Here is a 25,497-nt window from a genome sequence, read left to right as displayed (position 1 = left end):
TCATGTCCTTTGTAGGGACATGGATGAAGTTGGAAACCATCATTCTCAGCAAACTATCACAAGGACAAAAAGCTAAACACCGCATGTTCTCACTCATAGGTGGGAACTGAACAATGAGAACACATAGACACAGGAAGGGGGAACATCACACACCAGCGCCTGTTGTGGGGTCGGGGGAGAGGGGAGGGATAGCATTAGGAGCTATACCTAATGTTAAATGATGAGTTAATGGGTGCAGCACACCAACATGGCACATGTGTACGTATGTAACTAACCTGCACGTTGTGCACATGTACCCTAAAACTTAAAGTGTAATAAAACAAAAGACATTTAAAAAAATCATCTTTACAGATGCAAAGTGATATTTCCTTGTGGTTTTGATTTGCATTTTTCTGATGATTAATGACATTGAACATCTTTTCATATACCTGTTGACCATTTGTATGTCTTTAGAGAAATGCCTCTTCGAGTCTTTAGCCCATTTTTAAATTGGGATATTAGTATTTTTGCTCTTGAGTAGTAGTAATTCCTTATATATTTTGAAAATATATATTTTGAAAAACTCCTTCTTGGATAAATGGTTTGCAAATATTTTCTTCCAATCTATAATTTGCCCTTTCACAATGTTGATGGTTTTCTTTGTTCTGCAGAAGCTTTTTAGTTTGATGTAGTCCTACTTATCTATTTTTGCTTTTGTTGCCTGTGCTTCTGGTGTCATATCTATGCAATGAATGCCAAGAACAATGACAAGGGGATTTTTCCCTGTATTTTCTTTGTTTTTCTTCAACTTTAATTTTAATTTCCATGGTACATGTGCAGGATGTCCAGTTTTGTTACATAGATAAATGTGTGTCATGGTGGTTTGCTGCACAGATTAATCCATCACCTAGGTGTTAAGCCCAGCATCCATTAGCTAGTCTTCCTGATGTCTTTCTCTCTCCCCTGCCAACAGGCCTCAGTGCATGTTGTTCCCCCCATGTGTCCATGTGTTCTCATCCATCAGCTCCCACTTATAGGTGAGAACATGTGGTGTTTGGTTTTCTGTTCCTGTGTTAGTATGCTGAAGATAATGGCTTCTAGCTCCATCCATGATGATCTCCATCAGATCATGCAAAGGATATGATCTTGTTCCTTTTTATGGTTCCATAGTATTCATGGTGTATATATACCACATTTTCTTTATTCAGTCTATCATTGATTGAAATTTGGGTTAATTTCATGTTTTTGCTATTGTTAATAGTGCTGCAATGAACATATGCATGCATGTGTCTTTATAATAGAATAATTTATATTCCTTTGGGTGTATACTCAGTAATGGTATTACTGGGTCAAATGGAATTTCTGCTTTTAGGTTTTTGAGAAATCGCCATACCAATTTCCACAATAATTCAACTGATTTACACTCTCACCAACAATATGTAATCATTCCTTTTTCTCCACAACCTCACCAGCATCTGCTATTTTTTGACTTTTTAATAAAAGCCATTCTGACTGGTGTGAATGATATCTCATTGTGGTTTTGATTAGCATTTCTCTAACGATTGGTTATGTTGTTGAACTTTTGTTCATATGATTGTTTGCTGCATGTATGTCTTCTTTTGAGAAATGTCTGTTCACGTCCTTTGCCCACTTTTTAATTGGGTTGTTTGTCTTGTTCTTGTGAATTTAAGTTCCTTGTAGACTCTGGATATTAGAACTTTGTGAGAAAATTTCTTGCAGAAATTTTCTCCCATTCTGTAGGTTGTCAGTTCACTCTGATGATAGTTTATTTTTGCTGTGCAGAAGCTCTTTAGTTTAATTAGATCCCATATGTCAATTTTTGCTTTTGTTGCAATTGCTTTTGGCATTTTCATCATGACATCTTTGCTGTTGCCTATGTCCTGCATGGTATTGCCTAGGTTTTCTTCTAGCATTTCTACAGTTTTTGGTTTTACATTTATGTCTTTACTCCATCTTGAGTTAATTTTTGTATAAAGTGTAAGGAAAGGGTCCAGTTTCAATTTTCTGCATGTGGCTAGCCAGTTTTCCCAGCACCATTTAGTAAATAGAGATTCCTTTCCCCATTGCTTGTTTTTGTCAGGTTTGTTGAAGATCAGATGGTTGTAGGTGTGCAATCTTATTTCTGAGTTCTCTATTCTGTTCCATTGGTCTATATGTCTGTTTTGGTACCAGTACAATGCTGTTTTGGTTACTGTAGCCTTGTAGAGTAGTTTAAAGTTGAGTAGCGTGATGCCTCCAGCTTTGTTCTTTTTGCTTAGGACTGTCTTGGCTATATGAGCTCTCTTTTGGTTTCATATAAATTTTAAAATAGTTTTTTCTAGTTCTGTGAAGAATGTCAAGGATAATTTAATGGGAAGAGCATTGAATCTATAAATTACTTTGGGTAGTATGGCCATTTTCACGATATTGATTCTTCCTATCCATGAGCATGGAATATTTTTCCATTTGTTTGCATCCTCTCTGATTTCCTTGAGAAATGATTTGTAGTTCTCCTTGAAGAGGTCCTTCATTTCCCTTGTTAGCTGTATTCTTAGATTTTTTATTCTGTTTGTAGAAATTGCAAATGGGAATTCATTTATAATTTGGCTCTCTGCTTGTCTGTTGCTAGCGTATAGGAATGCTAGCAATTTTTGCACTTTGATTTTGTATCCTGAGACTGCTGAAGTTGCTTATCAGCTTAAGAAGGTTTTGGGCTGAGATGATGGAGTTTTCTAGATATGGGATTATGTCATCTGCAAACAAAGATAATTCGACTTTCTCTCTTCCTATTTGAATATGCTTTATTTCTTTCTCTTGCCTGATTGCCCTGGCCAGAACTTCCAATACTGTGTTGAATAGGAATGGTGAGAGGGCATCCTTGTCTTGTGCCAGTGTCCAAGGAGGATGCTTCCAGCTTTTACCCATTCATTATATTGGCTGTGGGTTTGTATATATGGCTCTTATTATTTTGAGGTATGTTCCTTCAGTATCTAGTTTATTAAGTGTTTTTAACATGAAGGGATGTTGAATTTTATCAGAGGCCTTTTCTACATCTATTGAGATAATCATGTGGTTTTTGTCTTTACTTCTGTTTATGTTATGAATTATACTTACTGATTTGCATATGTTGAACCAAACTTTCATCCTTGGGATGAAGTCAACTTGACCACGGTGGATAAGCTTTTTCGTGTGCTGCTGGATTTGGTTTGCCAGTGTTTTATTGAGGATTTTTGTATCAATGTTCATCAGGGATATTAGCCTGAAATTTTCTTTACTTGTTGTATCTCTGCCAGGTTTTGGCATCAGGATAATGCTGGCTGTATAAAATGAGTTAGGGAAGAACCTTTCCTTTTCAATTATTTGAAATGGTTTCAGTAGAAATGGAACCAGCTCCTCTTTGTACCTCTGGTAGAATTCGTCTGTAAATCCATCTGGTCCTGGTCTTTTTTTTTTTTTTTTTTTTTTGGTTGGTAGGCTATTTATTACTGCCTCAATTTCAGAACTCATTATTGGTCTATTCAGGGATTTAATTTCTTCCTGTTTCTGTCTTGGGAGGGTGTATGTGTCCAGGAATTTATCTATTTCTTCTAGATTTCTCTTGCCTAGTTTATGTGCATAGAGATGTTTATAGTATTCTCTGATGGTTTGTATTCTGTGGGGTCAGGGTGATATCCCCTTTATCATCTTTTATTGTGTCTATTTGATTCTCCTCTCTTTTCTTCTTTATTAGTCTAGCTAGTGGCCTATCTATTTTATTAATTTTTTTTTTCAAAAAAACAACTCCTGGATTTGTTGATTTTTTGAAGGTTTATTTGTGTCTCTATCTCCTTCAGTTCAGCTCTGGTTTTGGTTGTTTCTTGTCTTCTGCTAGCTTTGAGGTTTATTTGCTCTTGGTTTTCTAGTTCTTTTAGTAGTGATGTTCACTTGTCAATTAGAGATCTTTCTAGCTTTTTGATGTGGAGCATTTAGTGCTATAAATTTCCCTTTTAACACCTCTTTAGCTGCGTCCCAGATATTCTCGTACGTTGTCTCTTTGTTCTTCTTAGTTTTAAAGAACTTGATTTCTGCCATGATTTCATTATTTACCCAGGAGTCATTCAGGAGCAGGTTGTTCAATTTCCATGTAGTTATGTGGTTTTGAGTGAGTTTCTAATTTGAGTTCTAATTTGATTGTGCTGAGTCTGAGATACTGTTTGTTATGATCTCAGTTCTTTTGCATTTGCTGAGGAGTGTTTTACTTCCAATTATGCAATCAATTCTAGAGTCAGTCTATGTGGCAATGGGAAGAATGTATGTATATTCTGTTGGTTTTGGGTGGAGAGTTCTGTAGATATCTGTCAGGTCCACTTGATCCAGAGCTGAGTTCAGGTCCTGAATATGTTTGTTAATTTTCTGTCTCAATGATTTGTCTAAAATCATCAGTGGGGTGTTGAAGTTTCCCATTGTTATTGTATGGAAGTCTAAGTCTCTTTGTAGGCCTCTAAGACCTTGCTTTATGAATCTGGGTGCTCCTGTATTGGGTGCATATATATTTAGGATAGTTAGCTCTTCTTGGTGAATTGAACACTTTACCATTCCTTTCTTTGTCTTTTTGATCTTTGTTAGTTTAGGATCGCAATCCCTGCTTTTTTCTGTTTTCCATTTACTTGGTAAATTTTTCACCATTCCTTTATTTTGAGCCTATGTGTGTCTTTGCATATGAGATGGGTTTCTTGAACACAGCATACTGATGGATCTTGACTTTTTCCAGCTTGCCATTCCGTGTCTTTTAATTGGGGCATTTAGCCCATTTACATTTAAGGTTAATACTGTGATGTGATTTGATCCTGTCATTATGATGCCGGCTGGTTATTTTGCAGACTTGTTTATGTAGTTGCTTCGTAGTATCTCTAGTCTGTGTACTTCAGTGTGTTTTTGTAGTGGCTGGTAACAGTTTTTCCTTTCCATATTTAGTGCTTCCTTCAGAAGCTCTTGCAAGGCAGGCCTGGTGGTGATGAATTCCCTCAGCATTTGCTTGCCTTAAAAGGATCTTATTTCTCCTTTGCTTATGAAGCTTAGTTTGGCTGGATATGAAATTCTGGGTTGGACACTCTTTTCTTTAAGAATGTTGAATATTGTCCCCCAGTCTCTCCTGGCTTGTAGGGTTTCTGCTGAAAGGCCCATTTTTAGTCTGATGGGCTTCCCTTTGTGGGTGGTCTGGCCTTTCTTTCTGGCTACGCTTAGAGGAGTTCTGGTGGGAACTCCTCTCATTTTTTCTTTCATTTCAACTTTGGAGAATCTGATGATTATGTGTATTGGAGTTGAACTTCTCATGGAGTATCTTACTGGGTTTTGAATTTGAATGTTAGCCTGTCTTGCTAGGTTGAGAAAGTTCTCATGGATGATATTCTTTTTTTTTTTTTTTTTTTGATTCAAAGTCTCACTCTGTTGCCCAGCTTGAGTTCAGTGGTGTGATCTTGGCTCACTACAGCCTCCACCTCCAGGGTCCAAATGACTCTCCTGCCTCAGCCTCCTGAGTAGCTGGGACTACAGGCACATGCAACCTCACTGAGCTAATTGTTATATTTTCAGTAGAGATGGGGTTTCACCATGTTGGCCAGGCTGGTCTTGAACTCTTGGCCTCAAGTGGTCCACCTGCCTCGGCCTCCTAAAGTGCTAGAATAACAGGTGTAAGCTACTGCACCTGGCCTCCTGGATGATATCCTAAAGTATGTTTTCCAACTTGGTTCTGTTCTCCCCCTCTCTTTCAGGTACCCCAATCAGTAGTAGGTTCAGTCTTTTCTCATATGTTTTGTTTGTTCCTTTTCATTTTTTCTTTATCTTGTCTACCTGTCATATTTCAGAAAGATAGTCTACAATCTCTGAGATGCTTTTCTCTGCTTGGTCTATTTGGTTATTGATACTTGTGTGACTGCATTGTGAAGTTCTCGGTGTGTTTTTTAGCTTCATCAAGTCATTTATGTTCTTCTCTAAACTGGCTATTATTCTGGTTATCTGCTTCTGTAATGTTTTATCATGATTCTTAGTTTCTTTGCATTGGGTTAGAACACGCTCCTTTAGCTCAGCGAAGTTAGTTATTACCCACCTTTGGAAGCCTACTTCTGTCAATTCAGCCATCTCAGCCTCAGCCTAGTTCTGTGCCCTTGCTGGAGAGCTGTCATGATCATTTGGAGGAGAAGAGGCACTCTGGCTTTTTGAGTTTTCAGCATTTTTGTATTGATTCTTTCTCATCTTTGTGGGTTTATCTACCTTCAATCTTTAAGGTTGCCGACCTTTGAATGGGGTTTCTGTGGGGTCTTTTTTGTTGATGTTGTTCTTGTTGTTGCTTTCTATTCTGTTTTTCTTTTAACTGTCAGGCCCCCCTTCTGTAGAGCTGCTGTGGTTTGCTGGGGGTCCACTCCAGATCCTAATCGTCTCAGTCCCTCCCACACCTGGAGGTATCACCACTGAAGGCTGAAAAACAGCAAAGATGGCAGCCAGCTCCTTCCTCTGTAAGCTTTGTCCCGGGGGATTGATCTAATGAGGGCCCAAATGCTCCTTTAGGAGGTGTCTGGAGACCCCTGTTGGGAGGTCTCACTCAGTCAGGAGGAACAAGATCAGGGACCATCTGAAAGAAGCAGTCTGGCTGCCCCTTGGCAGAGCAGGTGCACTGTGCTGGTGGGAACTCCTCTCATCCACACTGCCCATATTCTCCAGAGCCAGCAGGCAAGAAAGGTTAAGTCCACTGAACCACAGAGACCATGGCCGCCCCTGCCCCCAGGGGCTCTGTCCCGGGGAGATTAGGGTTTTGTCAGTAAAATCCTGGCCGGAGTTGCTGAAATTCATGCACGGAGGCTCCTCCCAGTGAGGAGGGATGGATTGGGTTCCCACATAAAGAAGCAGTCTGGCCATGAACTGCCACAGCAACTGTGCTGCACTGTGGGGAATTCCTCATGGTTTGGACTGCCCAAACTCTCCAAAGCCAGCAGGCCAGGACCCCCAACTCGAGCTGTAGAGATGGCAGCTGCCCTTCTCCCCTCGTTGGAACTCAGTTGTCTCAGGTAGTCTCCAGCCTGCTGCCACTGGCTGGCTGGAATTCCAAGCCAGTGGGTCTTAACTTGTGAGGTGCCACGGGAGTGAGTTCCACAGAATGATGTCACTTGGCTCCCTGGTTTCAGCCTCCTTCCTAGGGGAATGCACAGACTCTTGCCTCACCAGAATTCCTGGGGCCAGAGTATGCAAAAACTCCTGGGTTTCTGTGCATGCCTGAGAAGCTGCCAAGAGCCTGCACAGCTCTGGGCTTCGGACCCAAGGCCCTGGAGGTAGGGGGCAAGCTCACAAGGAGATCTTCTGATCCGAGGGTTGCAAAGATCTGTGGGAAAAGTGTGGTTTCCCGGGCAGGGTGGCACAATCACTCACTGCCTCCCTTGGCTGGAGGTGGGGACTTCCCTGGCTCCATGCCATTCCTGGGTGGGCTGTCACCCCATCCTGCTTTTTCTTGCTTTCCGTGGGTCTCATTGACTGCCTAGTCAGTCCCAATGCCAGAACCTGGATACCTCCGTTGAAGGTGCAGAATTCACTCACCATTTTCATTCTTCTCTGTGAAAGCTGCAGACCACAGCTGCTTCTAACTGGCCATCTTGGCCTGTCCCCCACTCCTAGATACCTGTATTTTCTTCTAGGAGTTTTACAGTTTAAGGTATTATGTTTAAGTCTTTAATCTATTTTGAGTTGATTTTTGTGTGTGGGTGTAAAATAAGGACCAATTTCATTCTCATATTTAGAGATGTCTTGACCAACATGCTTTTTTAGGTTCTGACAGAGGGAAATTTCCCTGTTCAAGTGGGTCCAGGTCAGTGTCAAAGTATGGAGCTGAAATCACTGAAAGGCGTTCTGGGAAAGTTTTGGTGAGATGTTTAGAGTGTTCTACATGAAAAACTTCAGTAGGCCAATACATTTGAAAAAAGCTACGTACTCTGACCCCTTCCACCTTCCTTGAATATTATTATGCTCATTAGTAGCATATTAATGGACTCAAAAAGTCCTGTCGTGAAGGACTTTGCTGTCCTGTCATCTGCTTGACATTATTTAGCACAGCATTTCCCAAATTCACATGATTATGACATACACACTTCCTAACAAATATATACTTTACAATTAATCAGTTTGTTTTTTTACAAAGGCCTATTATCTCATGGAATAGTTATTTTCTTCAGAACAGAGTCCAGGTGACACTGAGCTACATCATAACATTGAAATAAGCTGGATTTGGGATAGAAGTCCTGGGCCCACAGCAGCTATTTGTTAAAGCCAGGAAGGTCAGAGTATATTCAAGCTAAATATCAGAGTAAGGTAATACCCCAGCAGCTAAGGAGGCTCTGAGAGTTTCAAGGAAGCAAGAGGCATGAGACAGATACTGTTACCATGGTAGGTCAAGCTCCAGGTCAGGGACCAGTGATTGGACATATAAGAAAGAAAACTGACACCAGAGAAAAGCAATTACAAAGTGATAATGTGGTGCTGATAACGAGGCAAGGCTTTGGCAGAGCTAGAGATTTCACCTTCACTTTCTCCTTGGGCAGAAACCAAGTCTAGGGGCATAAGTGAGGCTTCAGGCCTGGCAGGGGCTGGAGCTGACTAGGGAATTGTAGGATAGTAAGCCTAGCTGGTCCATTGAGTCAATGGAGTCTGAAGGTCCACATGTGAGCCTGGCTGGAGGACACGTGGGGCAGGTTCCAGAGGGCATGTGTCCCAGGGATCTAGGACTTGTAGGTTGCAAGGATCATTTCCAAGGTCTCACAATATAACATTCAGAGGTGACTCCAGGCAGGAATAGGGTGGGATGCCAGCCAAAGCCCAGAGAACAGAATGTTAGTATCAAAAAATCTAGTAGCCTATGTTGGGCAACTAGTCCCTGACATCTGGAAATAGGAGGTAGAAACCCTAATAGTGGCAGTCTGAAGGTAGGAGTTTAAAGACAGAGATTCTAGGTTCTCAGCGCTCTCCAAACAGCTCCTCCTCTGTCTAAAATCACATCTATACCTAGAGTTGGGGCGCAATTGAGCTTACAAATGAGGGTGAGAGTTGGGTGAAATGTGAGAGTTGGGTCAAGCAAGGCAGTATAATCAAAGCCTAGAAAAACAGGTTGAAAATGAGAGAAACAGGTGAGTGAGCCCCTGACTTAAATGAGAGAACAAATGGGTGGAAATGATGTCACATCTGGATGCAGAAAAACTGGCATTGTCCTGGAACAAGGTTCTTGGTGGATCCTGAATCTAAATCTCATAAAGTGTGAAACTAGATGCCAGTATGATCAAATGCTTCCCTCCACCATTCAAACTGGTCATTAAATCATCTTCCAGAAGTTTGGGTTAAGTTTTACTTTAGAAAAACGAATGATCTATTTAGTAGCTCCAGACATCTGCGACTCAAGGACTAGAGTATTATGTAAATGGAAGGTACATTAGAGGTCATTTAATCACATTTCTCACTCCAGAGCTCTCCAGTGCATACTTCATTGCAATTGAAATTTATGACCCCTAGAACTTAAAAACATCACCCATTCAACCCTTGAGCTCTGAAACAAGTCAAGTGCAACAAATCAAGTGCAAAGTTTAGAATTTTTAACAGGCAAGCAAATGCAGGCAGTGACAATAGCCAGAATACATCATTCAGTGGCAATGATAATCTACACAACTCCAATTCAGCAGCCAGTTGGCAACTCTAAATTTCCTTTTGAGTTCTACAGATGTAGCTGAAAGTCCCAGCTACATGGTTAAACAGCTCTTGTGCCATGAACTGAACATTTCCAAGTAAGTTTCTACAGGTGCACTGCAGATACAGTCGACCTAATAAAACCAACCACCACAATAAAAATGATTATCTGCATCCCCACCCTCCCACCTTATAATTGTTTTGCCTTTATTTCATTGTACAAAGAAAAACAAATCTATAAAAAAGATAAGGTCTAGTCTAATTTCTGTTTTGAAAACATTTTCCAGGAAAATAAATGTTTGCAAACTAAATAAATATGCATGCCCTGGATTTCCCCAGCTAACATGTAAGTTCTTAATCAAGGAAAAATCTCTGGGAGAGGAAACAGTCTTTAGTTAATTATCAAAAAGATAAGCTAGTCTTGGGAGACTATGTTCTCATAGAAGATGATGTCAAAGTTGAAAAGTGCTTTGGTAAATTCAGATGCTTGGGGAGTGCATCATAGTTGTGTATCTCTATCACAGCAGAATTCCCCTCTCTCTCAGCTCTACTCAAACCATCTTCCCATGACTGCAGTCAATATTGTTATCCAAGCTCTCAACTATGCTTAATTCTACATTTTCTACCCTCCTTATTTTCTACCCCCTCTCCACTCAAATTTATTGGTCCAGTCACATGGTACATTTTTCAGTTCTCCAAATGGACCCAAATTTCCTTCACAGATCCTTGCTGGAACTGCTGCTTCTGCCTTGAATGCCCTTCCTCCATGTTCAACTGCTTGCTACCTCCTTTTTTTTAATTGGCTAATTCATTCTCATTCTGCAAGAGTTTCCTGTCACCTCTAAGTCCCCACTGGTCATCTAGATGTTCCTGTCTCATTTTTACTTTGTCTACTGTATGCCAGGAGCTGGGCCCAGTAAATACGAGATTAATAAAAGGAAGTTATTAGAAAGTGAGGGGATTGGTAAGAAAGGAAGGAAGGACATTAAGAAGGGAAGATGAGAGGAAGGTAAGCCAGATGTTATGTGGAGCACAAGAACATACAACATTAAATCCAGTAAGAAGATAATGTGGATGCTGTTAGCCAGGTGTTTCCAATTCAACTGGAGTCAATGAGGCACACCCAAGTGAGGCCCTTAAGGTCACAAGTTACAGGACAACATATACAACAATGGTAAAGAATAAACTGCATAATATAAAGTGGGGAAGCAATTAAAATGGAGAATTAGTCACTTTCTGTCCATCCTGGGAACAGAGTGTCTTGCATTCCTTTTTCCTAGGTCCCATCCCTTGTTTTAGGAAAAGTAAAATTTATGTAAAATGTATGTTTCCCTTCTCTCTTTCCTTTCTCTCTGAAATATCCTCATCAGGAAATGGTACAGTGTCTTGGATATGCTTCAGAATAATTTGAGTTTAGGTGAGGGGTGAATGGAACAAAGTTTAAAAACTTTCTAAGCTTTTTCCCTTAGAAAATCTACAAGCCTAGCTGTGAGTTGATTATTGCTGAATCTGAGTTACAGGTACACTGGGGTTTATTAAACTCCTCTAATTCTGTGTATGTTTGAAATTATTCATCATAAAAAACACAAAATAAATCATTTCAAGGACCATGAGTTCTGCTCCAGTGGAGGCCAAGGAATAGTAATTGAATGTTTATACATGGCTTCAACAAAATGTAATGCTCACATGTAATGTATCAGATACTTAACAAGGCCTAAGATATTTATGGTGATAAATGCAACTCTCCCTATGCTCCTGCTTCCCTCACCTGAAGCCTGGTTATCCTGGACCCTGAGTCAGGTCAGAGATGATTTATTTGGGGGGCAATAGTGAAGGTCCTCAATGGCCCTATAGCTGAGAAGTGGTAATAGCTTTCTCCTCTCATTGGATGCCACTGAGGGCCTCTTATATATTAAATATCCACCAAATATGAAAATACTTACCACTGGAGTGCTCTATCTCCTTTCTTGTTTTCAGGGATGTAATATTGGGATAATCAGAGTACATATCTCTTAGGATTGTTGGAGGATTAAGTGAGCTAGTATATAAAATTACCTACAATTTAGGCCAGCATAAATTTTACTATCAGTGATAGTGTCAGCACTAGCATTAGTAATAGGACTGGGGTTTGTATGGGTATTGGAGAGCTATAACGACGTTTTGAGAAAGGAGAGATTTATGTGCATTGGTAAAGAAGAAGGATTCATGGAAGAAGTGAGCCACACTTTGCTGAATAGGTAGCTTATTTTTAGACAGAGGGAGAAGACAGGACTATCTGGGTAGAAGAGCAGGGAAAGACACCACAGAGTTAGTAATGAGCACAGAGTGCAGGGGACAATAAAGAGGAAAGTGTGGAGGTGAGGGAGGAATGTAGGATGGAGAATGAGGCAGGGCTGGGCTGTGGAGGCCTAGAACAGGGCAGCAAAGTTTAGACTTGAAGCAGGAGGAAGGATGGAACCAGGGGAGTGATCTGATGAGGGAGGGGTGAGATGAAAGCATACTTCGGGAGGGTTAGGCTGGCATAAGCACAGGATGTCTTGGCCTTAGGCAAGTTCAGACAAAAAGTTGACAAGAAGTCCCTAAGGAACTGTCATATTCTGAGGTTTGGCCCTGCTTTGGACTCCAAGTTGTAGTTTTGGTGGCCTCCTTGGGAAGGCAGGAGTTTTCCAGTGGACCTAACAGTCTGTTTTTGGGTCTCATCTTACCATCAGCTTTGCTTCTAGGCTATGCTGTCACCTAACATTTATAGGTAATGTAAGCCAAAGGATTCTGCAGGCTGGGATTTTCAAAAGCACCTCCCAGAATGTGCCTAGTCTGGCTTTCCTCCCCTGCAGAGAGGAGAAAATGTGTTGCTCAATTTGGCCAGAGGCCTTTGCAGTCATATGTCCATGGCTGACCTTGGCTTCTCTTTGGCTTACCTTGTGTGCACCTCTCCACTGAGGCATCCCTCTTCTCCACCTGTTCATACATTGCACTTATTTAAACCTTCTCTACCCACCTCTGATTCCCCTGTGGAGTCTCTGAGGAGAAATTTTACTGCCAGGCCCAGTAACAAGGTTTGGAAAGACAACATGTACTGCCAAGCCCAGGATGGCAAGTTAGTGAGAAGCTGAGTCTCACTGCTCCTAGATTTTTGCATTGGCAGTGTTTTACAGTACCCAGGAAGGCTCCCAGTGGGCATGTGTGCCCCACCCCAAGGTAGTGCCTGAGTGGCTGTTCTTGCTCAGCCATAACCTGCTTCGTCCACGCTCTGCACCAGCTGCAGGCTCCACTGCTCCATTTGTGTAGTGGGTGACTTGGGATTCTTGCTGTCTAAGTCCTTTCCAGCTCCAGCCTTTTAGAATTACCCCTAGGACCTTCTCAGTCTCAGTGTGTTGGCCTAGGTGGAATCTTGACTCTAACCAGGGCCGTGGCTGCCCAGAGAGGTGCATGAAATCAATGGCCATGGAGGAGTCACTTCTGCAAACAACAGTCACACACATATACACAACCACACACGCCTGTACTTCCTGTGACTCTGACTCTGACGTCTCTCTCTTCAGAGAGGGGGAATTTGATTTACATGTTGCCCAAGAAGCTTCAGGGTACATATGACCTGTTTCCTTTTCACTAACATCATCCTGCATCTTGTTAAGGTCCTCATCTGAGACAAAACAAAGGGAAAATCTACATGGTTAACACACTCATGTCATCTCAAAGTCACGGCATATCCTGGTCCTTGTACTTTTCCCATTTCCTTGAATTGCCAGAGCTTCTCCTCTGCTTTTCTCTCTTACACATGCAGTGAAACCCAGGGTGCTCAAGGCCCTGCCATGGCCCATGATGCTGTCCCAGAGACTGCAAGTCAAACTTTCAGCTGAAAAGAAGATTTCAGTTTGGTTAGGGGAGACTGGTAACTGAAACCACAGAGAGTTTATGTGGTAAGTTCCTAGTGAGGGGAGAGACTGTCAATGCCTCATGAGCTTTCAGGAAGCTGAGGGGCTTGCTGGTTTGAAGACTTCCAGGGGGCATGCCTGCTGTGGTAGAGATGCAAAAGTTTGGAAGGATTCTGGTTAGAGGAGTGGACACTGGAGACTTCCCAAGGGAATCTGAGCCAATATGCACCTGAGAAAGAGCAGGTGCATGACAAGCCTGAACTTTCCTGTTGGAGGAAGTGTTTCATGGGCAGTTGGAGATAATGTTGGACAGAGAGAAGGAGGGCATCAATGAAGGACACTGGGGATAAGGTGAACAGTCATTGCCTGGAAAGGTGGGCCCAGGCTGCATAGGTAGCTGCTGTGGCACTTATGAGAAGCTCAGTCAAGTGTTGTAACTAGGTTATGAGTAAACCGTACTAAGGAATCCTAAAACAGCTGTGATGAAATGAGCTTTGATAAAAGATCAGTTTGTTTTTTTCAGGCAATATCTTTCTTGAGAGTTGAAGTTTACCTTCCTTTTACACCATTCTACTCTCTACAGTTGCTTAAAGTGACATTTCATGGACTTTGGACAGAAGTTCCCTGTGGGCAGAACAAGCTGCTCACAATTTCAAGGGTGTGTGTGTGTGTGTGTGTGTGTGAAAGAGAGAGAGAGAGGGAGAGAGAGAAGACATCGAGGAGGCAGAAGAAAAAGGATAGTGTAGTGTCTTACTATTGGTGCTCATTGAAAGTGTTTAATCAATGCTGCTAAATTGAACTGAAGGAGAGAGCAGAATTAAAGAGCTGTAGCAGAGCCACCATGCACCCCCTTTCTTGTTTTGTGGCCTCTTTCACCAACCAAATCCATCCCATCTAGTCACCTCTGTAAAAACAGAATGCTGGCAAAATGAGGGTGAACTGCTTGACAATTAATTTCTTTGGGATGTTTTTGCTCTTTCTTACCCTTAGGTCCTGTAGCTTTTCCTAGTCTTTGGATTCATTAACTTTGCTCTACAATACCAAGACTATTGGCAGTACCCGTCATCCTGGGTCAGCCACCTTACAAAAGCAGGGATCCTTCTGAGTAGGAGTCGTTTTGTGTTAAGTTGTCACCACTACTAAAAAGGTCATACAATGGTCTCCTGAGTTTGGGCCCACACTACCATGGTCAATGATGAGCAGAAGGTGACATATGCCACCTGTCCCAAGGAGTTGAGCTTTTACTCCTGTTAAATCAGTAACCAATTAATCGAACAAGTACTAATTGAATGTCCTTTATGCCAATAAGTATTTGGAGAAAGCCTCCCTTCCTTTGATACCCCAGGAATTTTAACTCTGACTTGAGCTTGGACTTGGCCTTGCTCTGGAATCACTTGGTTCTTCTTAACTATTTTTGTTTCTTCCTCTGAAAACCAAAGAAATATCTCTGACTTCTAAGTGCTCATGGGGCAAGTAGAGAACTTGGATAATTAAAAATCAATACAAGAAACTCTTTCCCTGATTAAGTTCTCTAATACTTTTTGGACTATATGGATATTTTCCCCCTTATTTTAAATGTACAGCTCATGTCTAGAGAAAAGAATAGAGAGCAATATAGCAATCGCCTGGGTACCCATTATTCAGTTTTTTAAAAATATCAACATTTAGCAATAGTTGCTTCGGAATTTTGCTTTTAAAAAATGGACGTTTGTATTTTAATCCCAATTATACTATGTGAGCTGGGGATAAGTTGGTTATCTCTTTCTGCTTGATATTTAACATGCAGTGAAGGGTAGGGCTTTATTGAGGGGAAAGTGGCAAAAATTCCAGATTCTACTACAGAAGAATTGTGAAATATGCTTGGTAGAAATTCCAAAACATTTAAAACTGGAGCTTATAAGTTGTACTAATCAAACAGAATGAAAGTAGATCTTAATTTTGTCAACTACAAAAATTTTTAAATTCAACTACAAAAAGTTTTTTTCTACAAAAATTTTCAACTATGAAACATTTTTTAAAGGTTTTGGAAATCCACCCACAACATAATAGTTTATCCATCATTATAACTATTGTTGTTGCCCTCTTTAAATCAGCCTTTTCCAAATGATCATTGGGTGTTTAGAATTTAAGAATATGACTTATTCCTTTGGTTGTAGTCCCTAGAAACCCAAAAGTTCAATGTTACTTTTTCTAGTTTGGCTTGGTTTAACAATTGCCTAGTGTTCTTTGAAAAGAGAGCAGTGCGTGAATAGATAACTCAGCTTCATTAATGAGTTGCTACTTGAGGACTCTGAGCTTAAAAGTTGAGTTGTTTCACTTGGATCACAGAGTTGATTTGCAGAGTATTCATTCACATATATTGAATTAACCAATCTGATAATGATTTATAGAATTTAGAATATGGAAAGCATGTGAATCATAGTGGAAATACTTAGATAAGTTAAAAATGACTAGCAAATCCTAAGATTTTCCATTTCCATTATAGATACGATTAACAATCATTGTCTCTAAGGACAAAGATTATGTAATGTGCTTAAATCCATGCAAGACCAAGAGTAGTCAGTTAAATTCAATTTGATTCACAACAGTGCCCAATGCACTTAGTTGGAAACTATGAGATGTTTAAAAATGACTAATATGTAGCTAGTTCATTGTCATCAAGTTGTGTAGTCAGGCAGACAGGTCTGTACAACTAAAAAGATTAAAAGGTAGCAAGAAGAAAGTGCTATAACAGGCACAGAAATAAGATGTCATGCAATCAGTCAAATGGGAACAGTTTGCTAATTCAGCAAAGATTTATGTGGCAAGTACGGAACAGTACATTCTAACCACCAGGAATGCAGGAAAGCTTAGGATATGATGGTATTTTATTTGGTCTCAAAGAATGGCTAGGATTTCACTAGAAAGAGAAATTGGGTGTGAAGGGTGTAGGCAAGATAGTGAAAGAAGCAAGAAAGGAGGAAAATGGTCCAGAATGAGCAAATAGTGTAAAGATACAGTGTTTTAAAAAGATACCTGTGCTCGCATCTTTATCACAGCACTATTCAGAATAGCAAAGACATAGAATCAACCCAGGTTCTCATCAGTGATGGATTAGATAAAGAAAATATGGTGGATTGGAGAAAGAAAATTCCAACACCACGAAATATTACACAGTCATAAAAAAAAAAAGAATGAAATCATGTCCTTTGCAGCAACATGGATGCAGCTGGGGGCCATTATCCTAAGTGAATTAATTCAGAAAACCAGATGTCACCTCTTCTCACTTATAAGTGGAACCTAAACATTGAGTCCACACAGACACAAAGATGGGAACAAGAGACACTGGGGACTACTAGAGTGGGGAAGGAGGGAGTGGGGTAAGATTTGAAAAACTACCCATTGAATATTATGTTCATTATTTGGTGACAAATCAATGGAAGCCTAAATCTCAGCATTATGCAATCTATCCATAACAAACCTGCACATGGACCCCCTGAATCTGAAAAAATAATGATATGTTTTAAATTTCCATGATTTGTCTACAGTTCCAGTCTCCAGTGCCTCAGAGTCCATTTGCTTCTCTCAACACTGTGACCTAGCCTTTGTTCACATCACTGACTCAAAGGGCTTTTAGTGCAGTCATTAGTGATTTCTCCACTGTTGAATCCAATGGACACTCTTTGCTCTCATCTTATTTGACCTCTTGGCAACATTGACACTGTGGTCCACTCTTGCCTTCTCATACAGTCTCATCCCTTGGCTTCTGCAACACCTTGTTTTTCCTTCTTTTTCTCTGATCTCTATTCTCAGTTCCCTTTTCTCTTTAAATCCCTTCTTGCCCCCAGTCTTCAGGCATATATTTTCCCATCTTGATAGCCCAGTCCTTGCCACACTATACTTGTATAATCCTTTTTTAACCCTCATGTATCAGCTCAATTATTATTTCCCTCAGGATGCCTTTCCTACCTCCTACTCCCCAAACCTTGCTCCTAACCATTTAGGAGCCTTTCATTGAGTGCCCATAGTACCTAGCTATCTTCTGAGATTAGTACTTGCCATACTTTACTTCCATTGCTTGTAACATCTAAATCTAAATACAGATACCAGGTTTGAGTCTTAGGAAGATGACTCCAAGAGGAGCATGAAGGATGAATTGGAGGGCCATGAAAACTGGAGTGCAGAAAATGATAGGAGGAAATTTTATTTATTTGATTGTAATGAGAGGGCTAGAGATGCAGACGGAGAAGAAGGCAGAAAGAAATCCATTTAAAAGGTGCCATTATAAGGTCTGATGACCCATCAGATGGAAGAAAGGTCTTGTGGGGTACAAAAGAGGGAGCAATTAATACCCAGTGTTCTGTTGTGAGCACATGGATTTGTTTTTGTTCCACTAAATAAATTAGGAAAGATATGGGTTCTGGAGTCAGATGGGCCTGAAGACCAATCTCATTTTTGTTGAACTAGCCATTAATTTTTAGCTAAGTTATGTGACCAGGCTGAGGTTTGATATCGTTCCCCTATAAAATAGGATTGATAAAATCAACCTTGCAGAGTTGTGAGGATTGAAATGAGGTCAAGTAAGAAACACTCCTCGCGCAGGGCCTGACACACACACACCAGCAGGCACTCAGTGAATTAAGATGATGATGGTTTGAGGTCTGAAGATGCTAAATTCCAGATCCCTACAGAACATCCCTGTAAACAAATTAGCTACCCAAGTAGACAAAAGCCATCTTCGACCGTGTCTCTTCCAGCACTTATCAAGATCTAGATTTTCAACATCGAAGCCCTCAAAACATTATCTTAATTTACTGTCTTACACCTTAGAATCTGGGACTATTGTTTTGTTAAAACTCCAGGGCTTACATGGATTCATTGACAAGTGAGGTGCCACTTAGATTTGAACAAGTGGAGATTGGCGAAAGGTCAGGAGCAGTAGTGAAGGGCTAGTACCTAAAGAGTGTGATTCAATAAATAGAAGGCATGCTCCTATCTGTAGGTAAGACTCAAGGTGACGCATTAGCCTTTTCAGCAGCTGTTTCCTCCTTGGCCAGGACTTAACAGAGCAGCAAGATCTTGGCACACATTAAAAATCTCACCCCAAGAAGTTTCACGAAACACTCTCTTTAGTTTGGGTGGATAAAGGAAAAGCAGGCAGAATGCTTCATGTCAATGAATAGGATTGTTGCTATTCTTCTCCTGATGCGTAGAAAGTTTCCAAACTCAGAGTGAGCCCTGTTGGTTGAAGAAACCACTAACTTCAAAAGCAGTCCATCATGGTCTTTCAGCAACGTGGCATTTGTTGAACTGAATTTGGGTGACTTTAAGGGCTCTATTTCCAGTTCACACTCAGGGGCAGGTCCTTGATTTTAAACAAAGAGAGTTGAAACTCTTCTGCAATCTGTAGACTGCCTAGTTAATCAGATAACATCTTCTGAGACAGAATCAAAAGGGAAGTTTCCGAGGGAATTTCAAAGTTATACCATAAATAGCTGAGGAGACTGTAGCTGGTCTAAACTTTTCTTTGATTCCTAGCTCTAATGTGGCCTTTTGGATACACACCAGCTATTTCTCTGATTTATTTCTGAACTACAAAGAGGGTCTTCAACACCTGAGTTCTGAAAAAGAGAAAGTGAAAGTGATGTATGCTCTTTATAGCACTGAGGAGCTAGATTTCAACATATAATGAATTGAACCTTTTTCTTTTTTTTGACTATCAACAACATACACTATAAAGCCAAATCAATACTAATCAACAATACTTAATTATGACTAGGTTCAAATAGAGACCCAGCTGACCATTTTTAGACATTTATAACAAACTGTCATTTCATGCATGTCATCCCATTTAATTATATTAATTTTCACAACAAATTAGTGAATGAGGTATTACTAGTCTCATTCTAAAAATGAAGAAACTGAGTTTCAAGGTCACTTAGCTAATATCTTACTCTAACTGTAACCACCAGATTTTTTTTAAAGAAGAATACTGTTTTTATATAGTAAATAGTAGCCATGAATCAATGCAGAAAAATTTACAAATAAGATATTTTAAAACTTATAAATTAAGGGTAATGAGATAGACTATAAACTACTTGAGGTCACAGGCTATGTCTTACTTTGCTTTTTAGCCCCAGATCTCAATATGAAGGGAGATGTAATAAATGTTTGTGGAACAACATGCATGAATAATAATAATTTTGGGGGCCTTGCATAAATGTATAACCTTGCATGAAATAATAGAATTCCAGAACTGGAAGAGATTTTAGAAGCATCTACATGAGTGGTTCCCAAACTTTAGCATGTAGCATCAGAATTCTCTAAAGGGTTTGTTAAAACACAGATAGCTAGGCCCCAGCCTGAGTTCACAACCCTGGTTCCACCAATTATTAGATGGGTGAAGTAGAATAAAACACTTGTCTCAGTCTCATTTTTCTTATAAACAAAATGGAGATGCTAATAATGTCACCATGTTACAGACTTTTTTTGTAAGGATTCAATGGCCTGAGAAACTCAATTCAATCATCCTGAGAGTTCCTGGTTCAGAAAGTCTGAAATGGGCTTTTGAATCTGCATTTTTAGTAAATTTCCACATGAAGCTGATGCTGCTGGTTCAGGGACCACACTTTAAAAATCACTAACCTGCAACAACTATAACTAACATTTATTAAGGGCTTATGACATGCCAGGCACTATGCTAAAGTACATTGCCTGCATTAAGTCATTCAATCATTACAATAAGTCTGTAAAATGGTGATATTATTAGCATCCCCATTTTATTTATAAGAAGAATGAGACATAGAGAAGTGTTTTATCCAACTTTGCCCATCTAATAACTGGTGGAACCAGGATTGTGAACTCAGGAAGTCTGATGCTAGATCCAGCACTTTTACATTATACTATAGCATTTCAAGGAGTGAACTGCTTCTTGTGTCAACCCTGATACGGGAATGAAGGCTCACAAGAAGTGATTGCCCAAAGTCAGGCCATGAATTGGGAGAAGAGTATGTGAACAAGGACACAAGCTTCCTAATTCAGCATCTTTTAAGCTGCTGCCTTCTCTTGGCATAGAGCACTAGTAGGAGTGGGGGAGGGCTCTAATCCTTCTTCCGATTTGAATCTAATCAGTTTGAGTGTCACTGAGTGTCACAGACGTCCTTATGATGTGCTGACATCCTAATAGTTTCCTTTATTTACATATTATTTCATCTGAGGAAGGGAGGTGGTGATGACCTGGGAGACAGAATAGAAAGTGTGATGAGTCGTGAGGTTGGACGCTCAGTCCCAGAAAAGAAAGGGGTCGGACTGCTGAGTGGCTAAAGAGTGGGTGGAAGGAAATGTGTCCATGTGTCTTGGTAAGCCCTTAGTTATATCTCAACCAATACGTAGAAAATCTAGCTCTGAGCTGGGTGCAGTAGCCCACACCTGTAATTCTAGCACTTGGGAGACTGAGGCGGGCTCATCACTTGAGGTCAGGAGTTTGAGATCGGCCTGGCCAACATGGTGAAACTCCGTCTCTACTGAAAATATAAAAATTAACTGGGCATGGTGGTGCACACCTGTAGTCTCAGCTACTCGGGAGGCCTAGGCAAGAGAATCACTTGAACCCGGGAGGCAGAGGTTGCAGTGAGCCGAGATCATGCTACTGCACTACAGCCTGGGTGACAGAGCAAGACTCTGTCTGAAAAAACAAAAGAAAAGAAAAGAAAATCTAATTCTGAGAGACTTTAGGTAATTGTATTCCCACTCTGAGGTATCTGAGGGACTCTGGGAAGAAAATTGGAGGATGTGTCATTAGCAGAAGCATGGACCTGGGAGGGCCCATAAAGTCATAGGTTCAGTCTCCCAGATACTAGCTATCCTTAAATATGCTATATCCTTTGCCCCAGAATGTGCCCCTGCCCTGGGCCAGCTGTTGGAAAAATATTTACAGACACAGCACACTGCAGTGGGAAAAGCATGGGCCTCAAGCCAAGTCTCTCCTCGCCACTGACAGCTGCATGAACTTAACCAGAGCCATCATCTTACAGAGCTGGCTTCCTCATCTATAAAAGGGGGTATGGTAAGCAGAATAATGACCCTTTCCCCCCTAACATGTTTACATCTTAATTCCTGGAATCTGTAACCATGTGACCTCAAACGGCAAAAAGGGATTTGCAGATGTGATTTAGGACCTTAAGAGGGGAGCGTATCCTGGATTATATAGGTGGATCCAGTGGAATCTCAAGGGTCCTTTTGAGGGAACAGAAGAGTCAGAGTCAGAGAAGGAGATGTGACGATGGAAACAGAAGTCAAAATGATGCTGTTGCTGGCTTTGAGGATGGAAAGTTGATGGAAACATGAGTTTAGGAATGCAGTGGCCTCTGTAACCTGGAAAAGGCAAGGAACTGATTCTTCCCTAGGGCCTCCAGAAGGAGTACAGCCCTGCCAGTACCTTGGTTTTAGCCCCTTGAGACCCATTTCAGACTTATTCCCAGAACTCTAAGATGATATATGTTTGTGTCCATTTAAGCCACTAAAAATGTGGCAATTTGTTACAGTCGCAATAGGAAACTAATATATGAGGCGAATAACAAAGTCCTTGTCTATCTCTTAGGGCTGCTGGGAGAGTCAAATGACATCCTTTATGTGGTGACACTTTAAAAACTGGAACCCACTATCCAAATATAAGGCACTATCATTACTGGCATTACAGTGACTACCTGAGAGAGGAAACAGGGACAGATAAGCACAGTGGTATACTAGTAGATGTTTAATAACCAGCTCTTGGGAGGAGGATGGGTTGGGGGGACTCTGATTTGTAACATTTGCTTATTTCCAGGGAGTAAATACTTCCACCATGGCCCATTTCAAGCTACAACATGAAGTCACTGAAGCGGGAGGTAGTAAAAGACACACACAATCAACTCTCACCACCTCAAGGCAGCTCCAACACACCAGGGCATAAGCACAAATTCAGCCCCGCCACCAAACAAGCAAGCATGGCGCATTTGCTTTCTGGTGGTCTTTCACTACAACCCTCACACAGGAAGGCTAGAACCTTACTGTGAGTCCAGATGTACTATCAGGGAACAACCCTGTCTCAGAATCTGCACTGGGTTCCAGATTTTAATTTTCTGAATGGGATCATATGGTTATTCTCTTCCTTTAATAAGGATGTGTCAAGAGGAAATGGAACCCTTCTCTAGCCTCAAGAGGAATTTGAATTTGGTTGAAAAAGGAATCTCTTAAATTCAGGACTGTCCCGACCAAGTTCCTATAAAAATAATTTTTCCGGCCTGGGAGATAAGGTCTTTTGAAATATGGCTCCTCGCTTAAGTTGGCACAGAGTTCCATCTGACAAATACAAATTGGACACCTCCTATATTCCAGTGCTGGGCTCATGAAAAGATGTAACAACAACAATCAGACGTGGTCCCTGTCCTCAAGGAGCTCACAGTACAGTCCTGTGTTTCTTAGATCCCCGTTCCTCGTGTCTCACACTTAGGTCTTCTGCAAAATCATGTACCACCTATGCTTATAGTTAATTCATATTTTTAAGTTAAAAATTTTAAAGTACCATAATTGGATTTGGCTGGATATAAAAGAAACCCTACTTTAGTGGCTTAACCAAACTAGGGGGTGTTTTTCATGTAATAAAGAGGCTATGGTTAGGAAGCAGCCTCTTTCTTCCTTCCAGCTCTGCCACCCTTAGCGTCTTAATGGTCCAAGATGGCTGTACTTCATCCAACCATTTCACCTTATTTTCATGCTGAAGACAGAGGACAGAGAAGAATCAAAGAGAAAAAGGCACCTGCCCATGGTGGGATCCTTTTTATTGGGAAAACAATAGTTTTCCCCAAATTCCGATCCAGTAGACTTTTGTTTATATCTCGTTGGCCAGAACTGGGTCACACAGCCACCATAGCTACAACAGAGTCTAGGGACATGAATATTTTTAACTGGGAAATTGCTTCCTGAACCAAACTGAGGTTCTGTGAATGAAGTAAGAAGCTAACTTAGCAACTAGTAATAGCTGTCACAATCTCTCTCTACTCAGTCGAACTTGAGAAACATCTGTAAACCTATGTCATTACTGGGCCACCTCCCTTTTTATATACATATATATATATTTTTGAGATGGAGTCTCACTCTGCCACCCAGGCTGAAGTTCAGTGGCATAATCATGGCTCAATGCAGCCTCCACCTCCTGAGCTCAAGCAATTCTTTCACCTTAGCCTCCCAAGTAGCTGGTACTACAGGCATGTACCACCATACCTGGCTAATTTTTCAAAATTTTTAGTAGAGACAAAGTCTCATTATGTTGCCCAGGCTGCTCTCGAACCCCTGAGCTCAAGTGGTCCTCCCAACTCAGCCTCCCAAAGTGCTGGGATTACAGGCATGAGCCACTGCACCCAGCCATATGTTTTCTAATACATGTTAAAATACAAAACAAAATTGAAATGTAAAATTCTATGGAGAGTTTAAATATCAGATCTTGTAAACTCTGACTGTCACTGCCAGTGATTTTCTGGATTACTTTATGGGGCTGTAGAATTTGCTGAAATCTCTTCTTTGGCAAAGGGCTAGCTCAGGTTCCAGACAAAAGGTGGTCTCCAAGAGCATGTGGCAAAAACTGGCTCTTAACTGCTCTTAGGGAGCAGGCATTTAAAGAAATTTTTAAAATCAAGGTATTTGCAATAGGTATTTATTTACAATAAAATGCACACTAAGTGCACAGTTTGATGAGTTTTAACTTATGTATCTCATCTGAAACTAATGCCCCAATCAAGATATAGACCATATAGACTTTTTTTTTTTTTTTTTTTGAGACCAAGTCTCGCTCTATCACCTAGGCTGGAGTGCAGTATTGCAATCTGGGCCCACTGCAACCTCCGCCCCCCGGTTCAAGCGATTCTCCTGCTTCAGCCTCCTGCATAGCTGGGATTACAGGCACAAGCCACCACAGCCAGCTAATTTTTATATTTTCAGTAGAGATGGGGATTCACCATGTTGCCCAAGCTGCTCTCGAACTCCTGGGCTCAAGCGATCCACCCGCCTTGGTCTCCCAAAGTGCTGGAATTACAAGCGTGAGCCACCACGCTCAGTCAAGATACAGACCATTTCTATCATTCTAGAAAATTACTTTGTGTACCTTCCCATTCCCAGTCGACCTCCCCTCCACTCTGGGGTAACAATTATTCTAATTTCTATCTCCTTAAATTAGTTTTGCCAAACTAATATCTTTGGTCTGCATTCAGCATGATTGAGATAAGTGAATTTAACATCAGAATTACAGAAACAATTTGTCACTTTTCAAAAGTATGTAGTTCTTTTTTTAATTTTATTTTATTATTAGTATAATACTTTAAGTTTTAGGGTACATGTGCACAATGTTCAGGTTTGTTACATATGTATACATGTGCCATGTTGCTGTACTGCACCCATTAACTCGTCATTTAGCATTAGGTATATCTCCTAATGGTATCCCTCCCCCACCCCCCACCCCACAACAATCCCTGGAGTGTGATGTTCCCCTTCCTGTGTCCATGTGTTCTCATTGTTCAATTCCCACCTACGAGTGAGAACATGCGGTGTTTGGTTTTTCGTCCTTGCGATAGTTTGCTGAGAATAATGATTTCCAGTTTCATCCATGTCCCTACAAAGGACATGAACTCATCATATTTTATGGTGAGTTCCATGGTGTATATGTGCCACATTTTCTTAATCCAGTCTATCGTTGTTGGACATTTGGGTTCGTTCCAAGTCTTTGCTATTGTGAATAGTGCCGCAATGAACATACGTGTGCATGTGTCTTTATAGCAGCATGATTTATAGTCCTTTGGGTATATACCCAGTAATGGGATGGCTGGATCAAATGGTATTTCTAGTTCTAGATCCCTGAGGAATCACCACACTGACTTCCACAATGGTTGAACTAGTTTACAGTCCCACCAACAGTGTAAAAGTGTTCCTATATCTCCACATC

At 40.8% G+C, this 25,497-nt stretch overlaps 2 annotated features.

Annotated features, from left to right (window-relative positions):
- Positions 2,574–2,774: a silencer, noted in NCBI's record as "peak5831 fragment used in MPRA reporter construct". NCBI's record gives its function as "represses an SCP1 promoter by STARR-seq MPRAs in K562 erythroleukemia cells {active_cell/tissue: K562}" and the evidence as "EXISTENCE:reporter gene assay evidence [ECO:0000049][PMID:32103011]".
- Positions 13,435–13,534: an enhancer, noted in NCBI's record as "active region_24655". NCBI's record gives its function as "activates an Ori minimal core promoter by ATAC-STARR-seq in GM12878 lymphoblastoid cells {active_cell/tissue: GM12878}" and the evidence as "EXISTENCE:reporter gene assay evidence [ECO:0000049][PMID:35858748]".

The sequence above is a fragment of the Homo sapiens genome, chromosome 6, assembly GCF_000001405.40.
Source record: "Homo sapiens chromosome 6, GRCh38.p14 Primary Assembly".
Lineage (NCBI taxonomy): Eukaryota > Metazoa > Chordata > Mammalia > Primates > Hominidae > Homo > Homo sapiens.
Note: the sequence above shows the minus strand (reverse complement) of the source record. Positions and strands in the feature narration are given on the sequence as shown.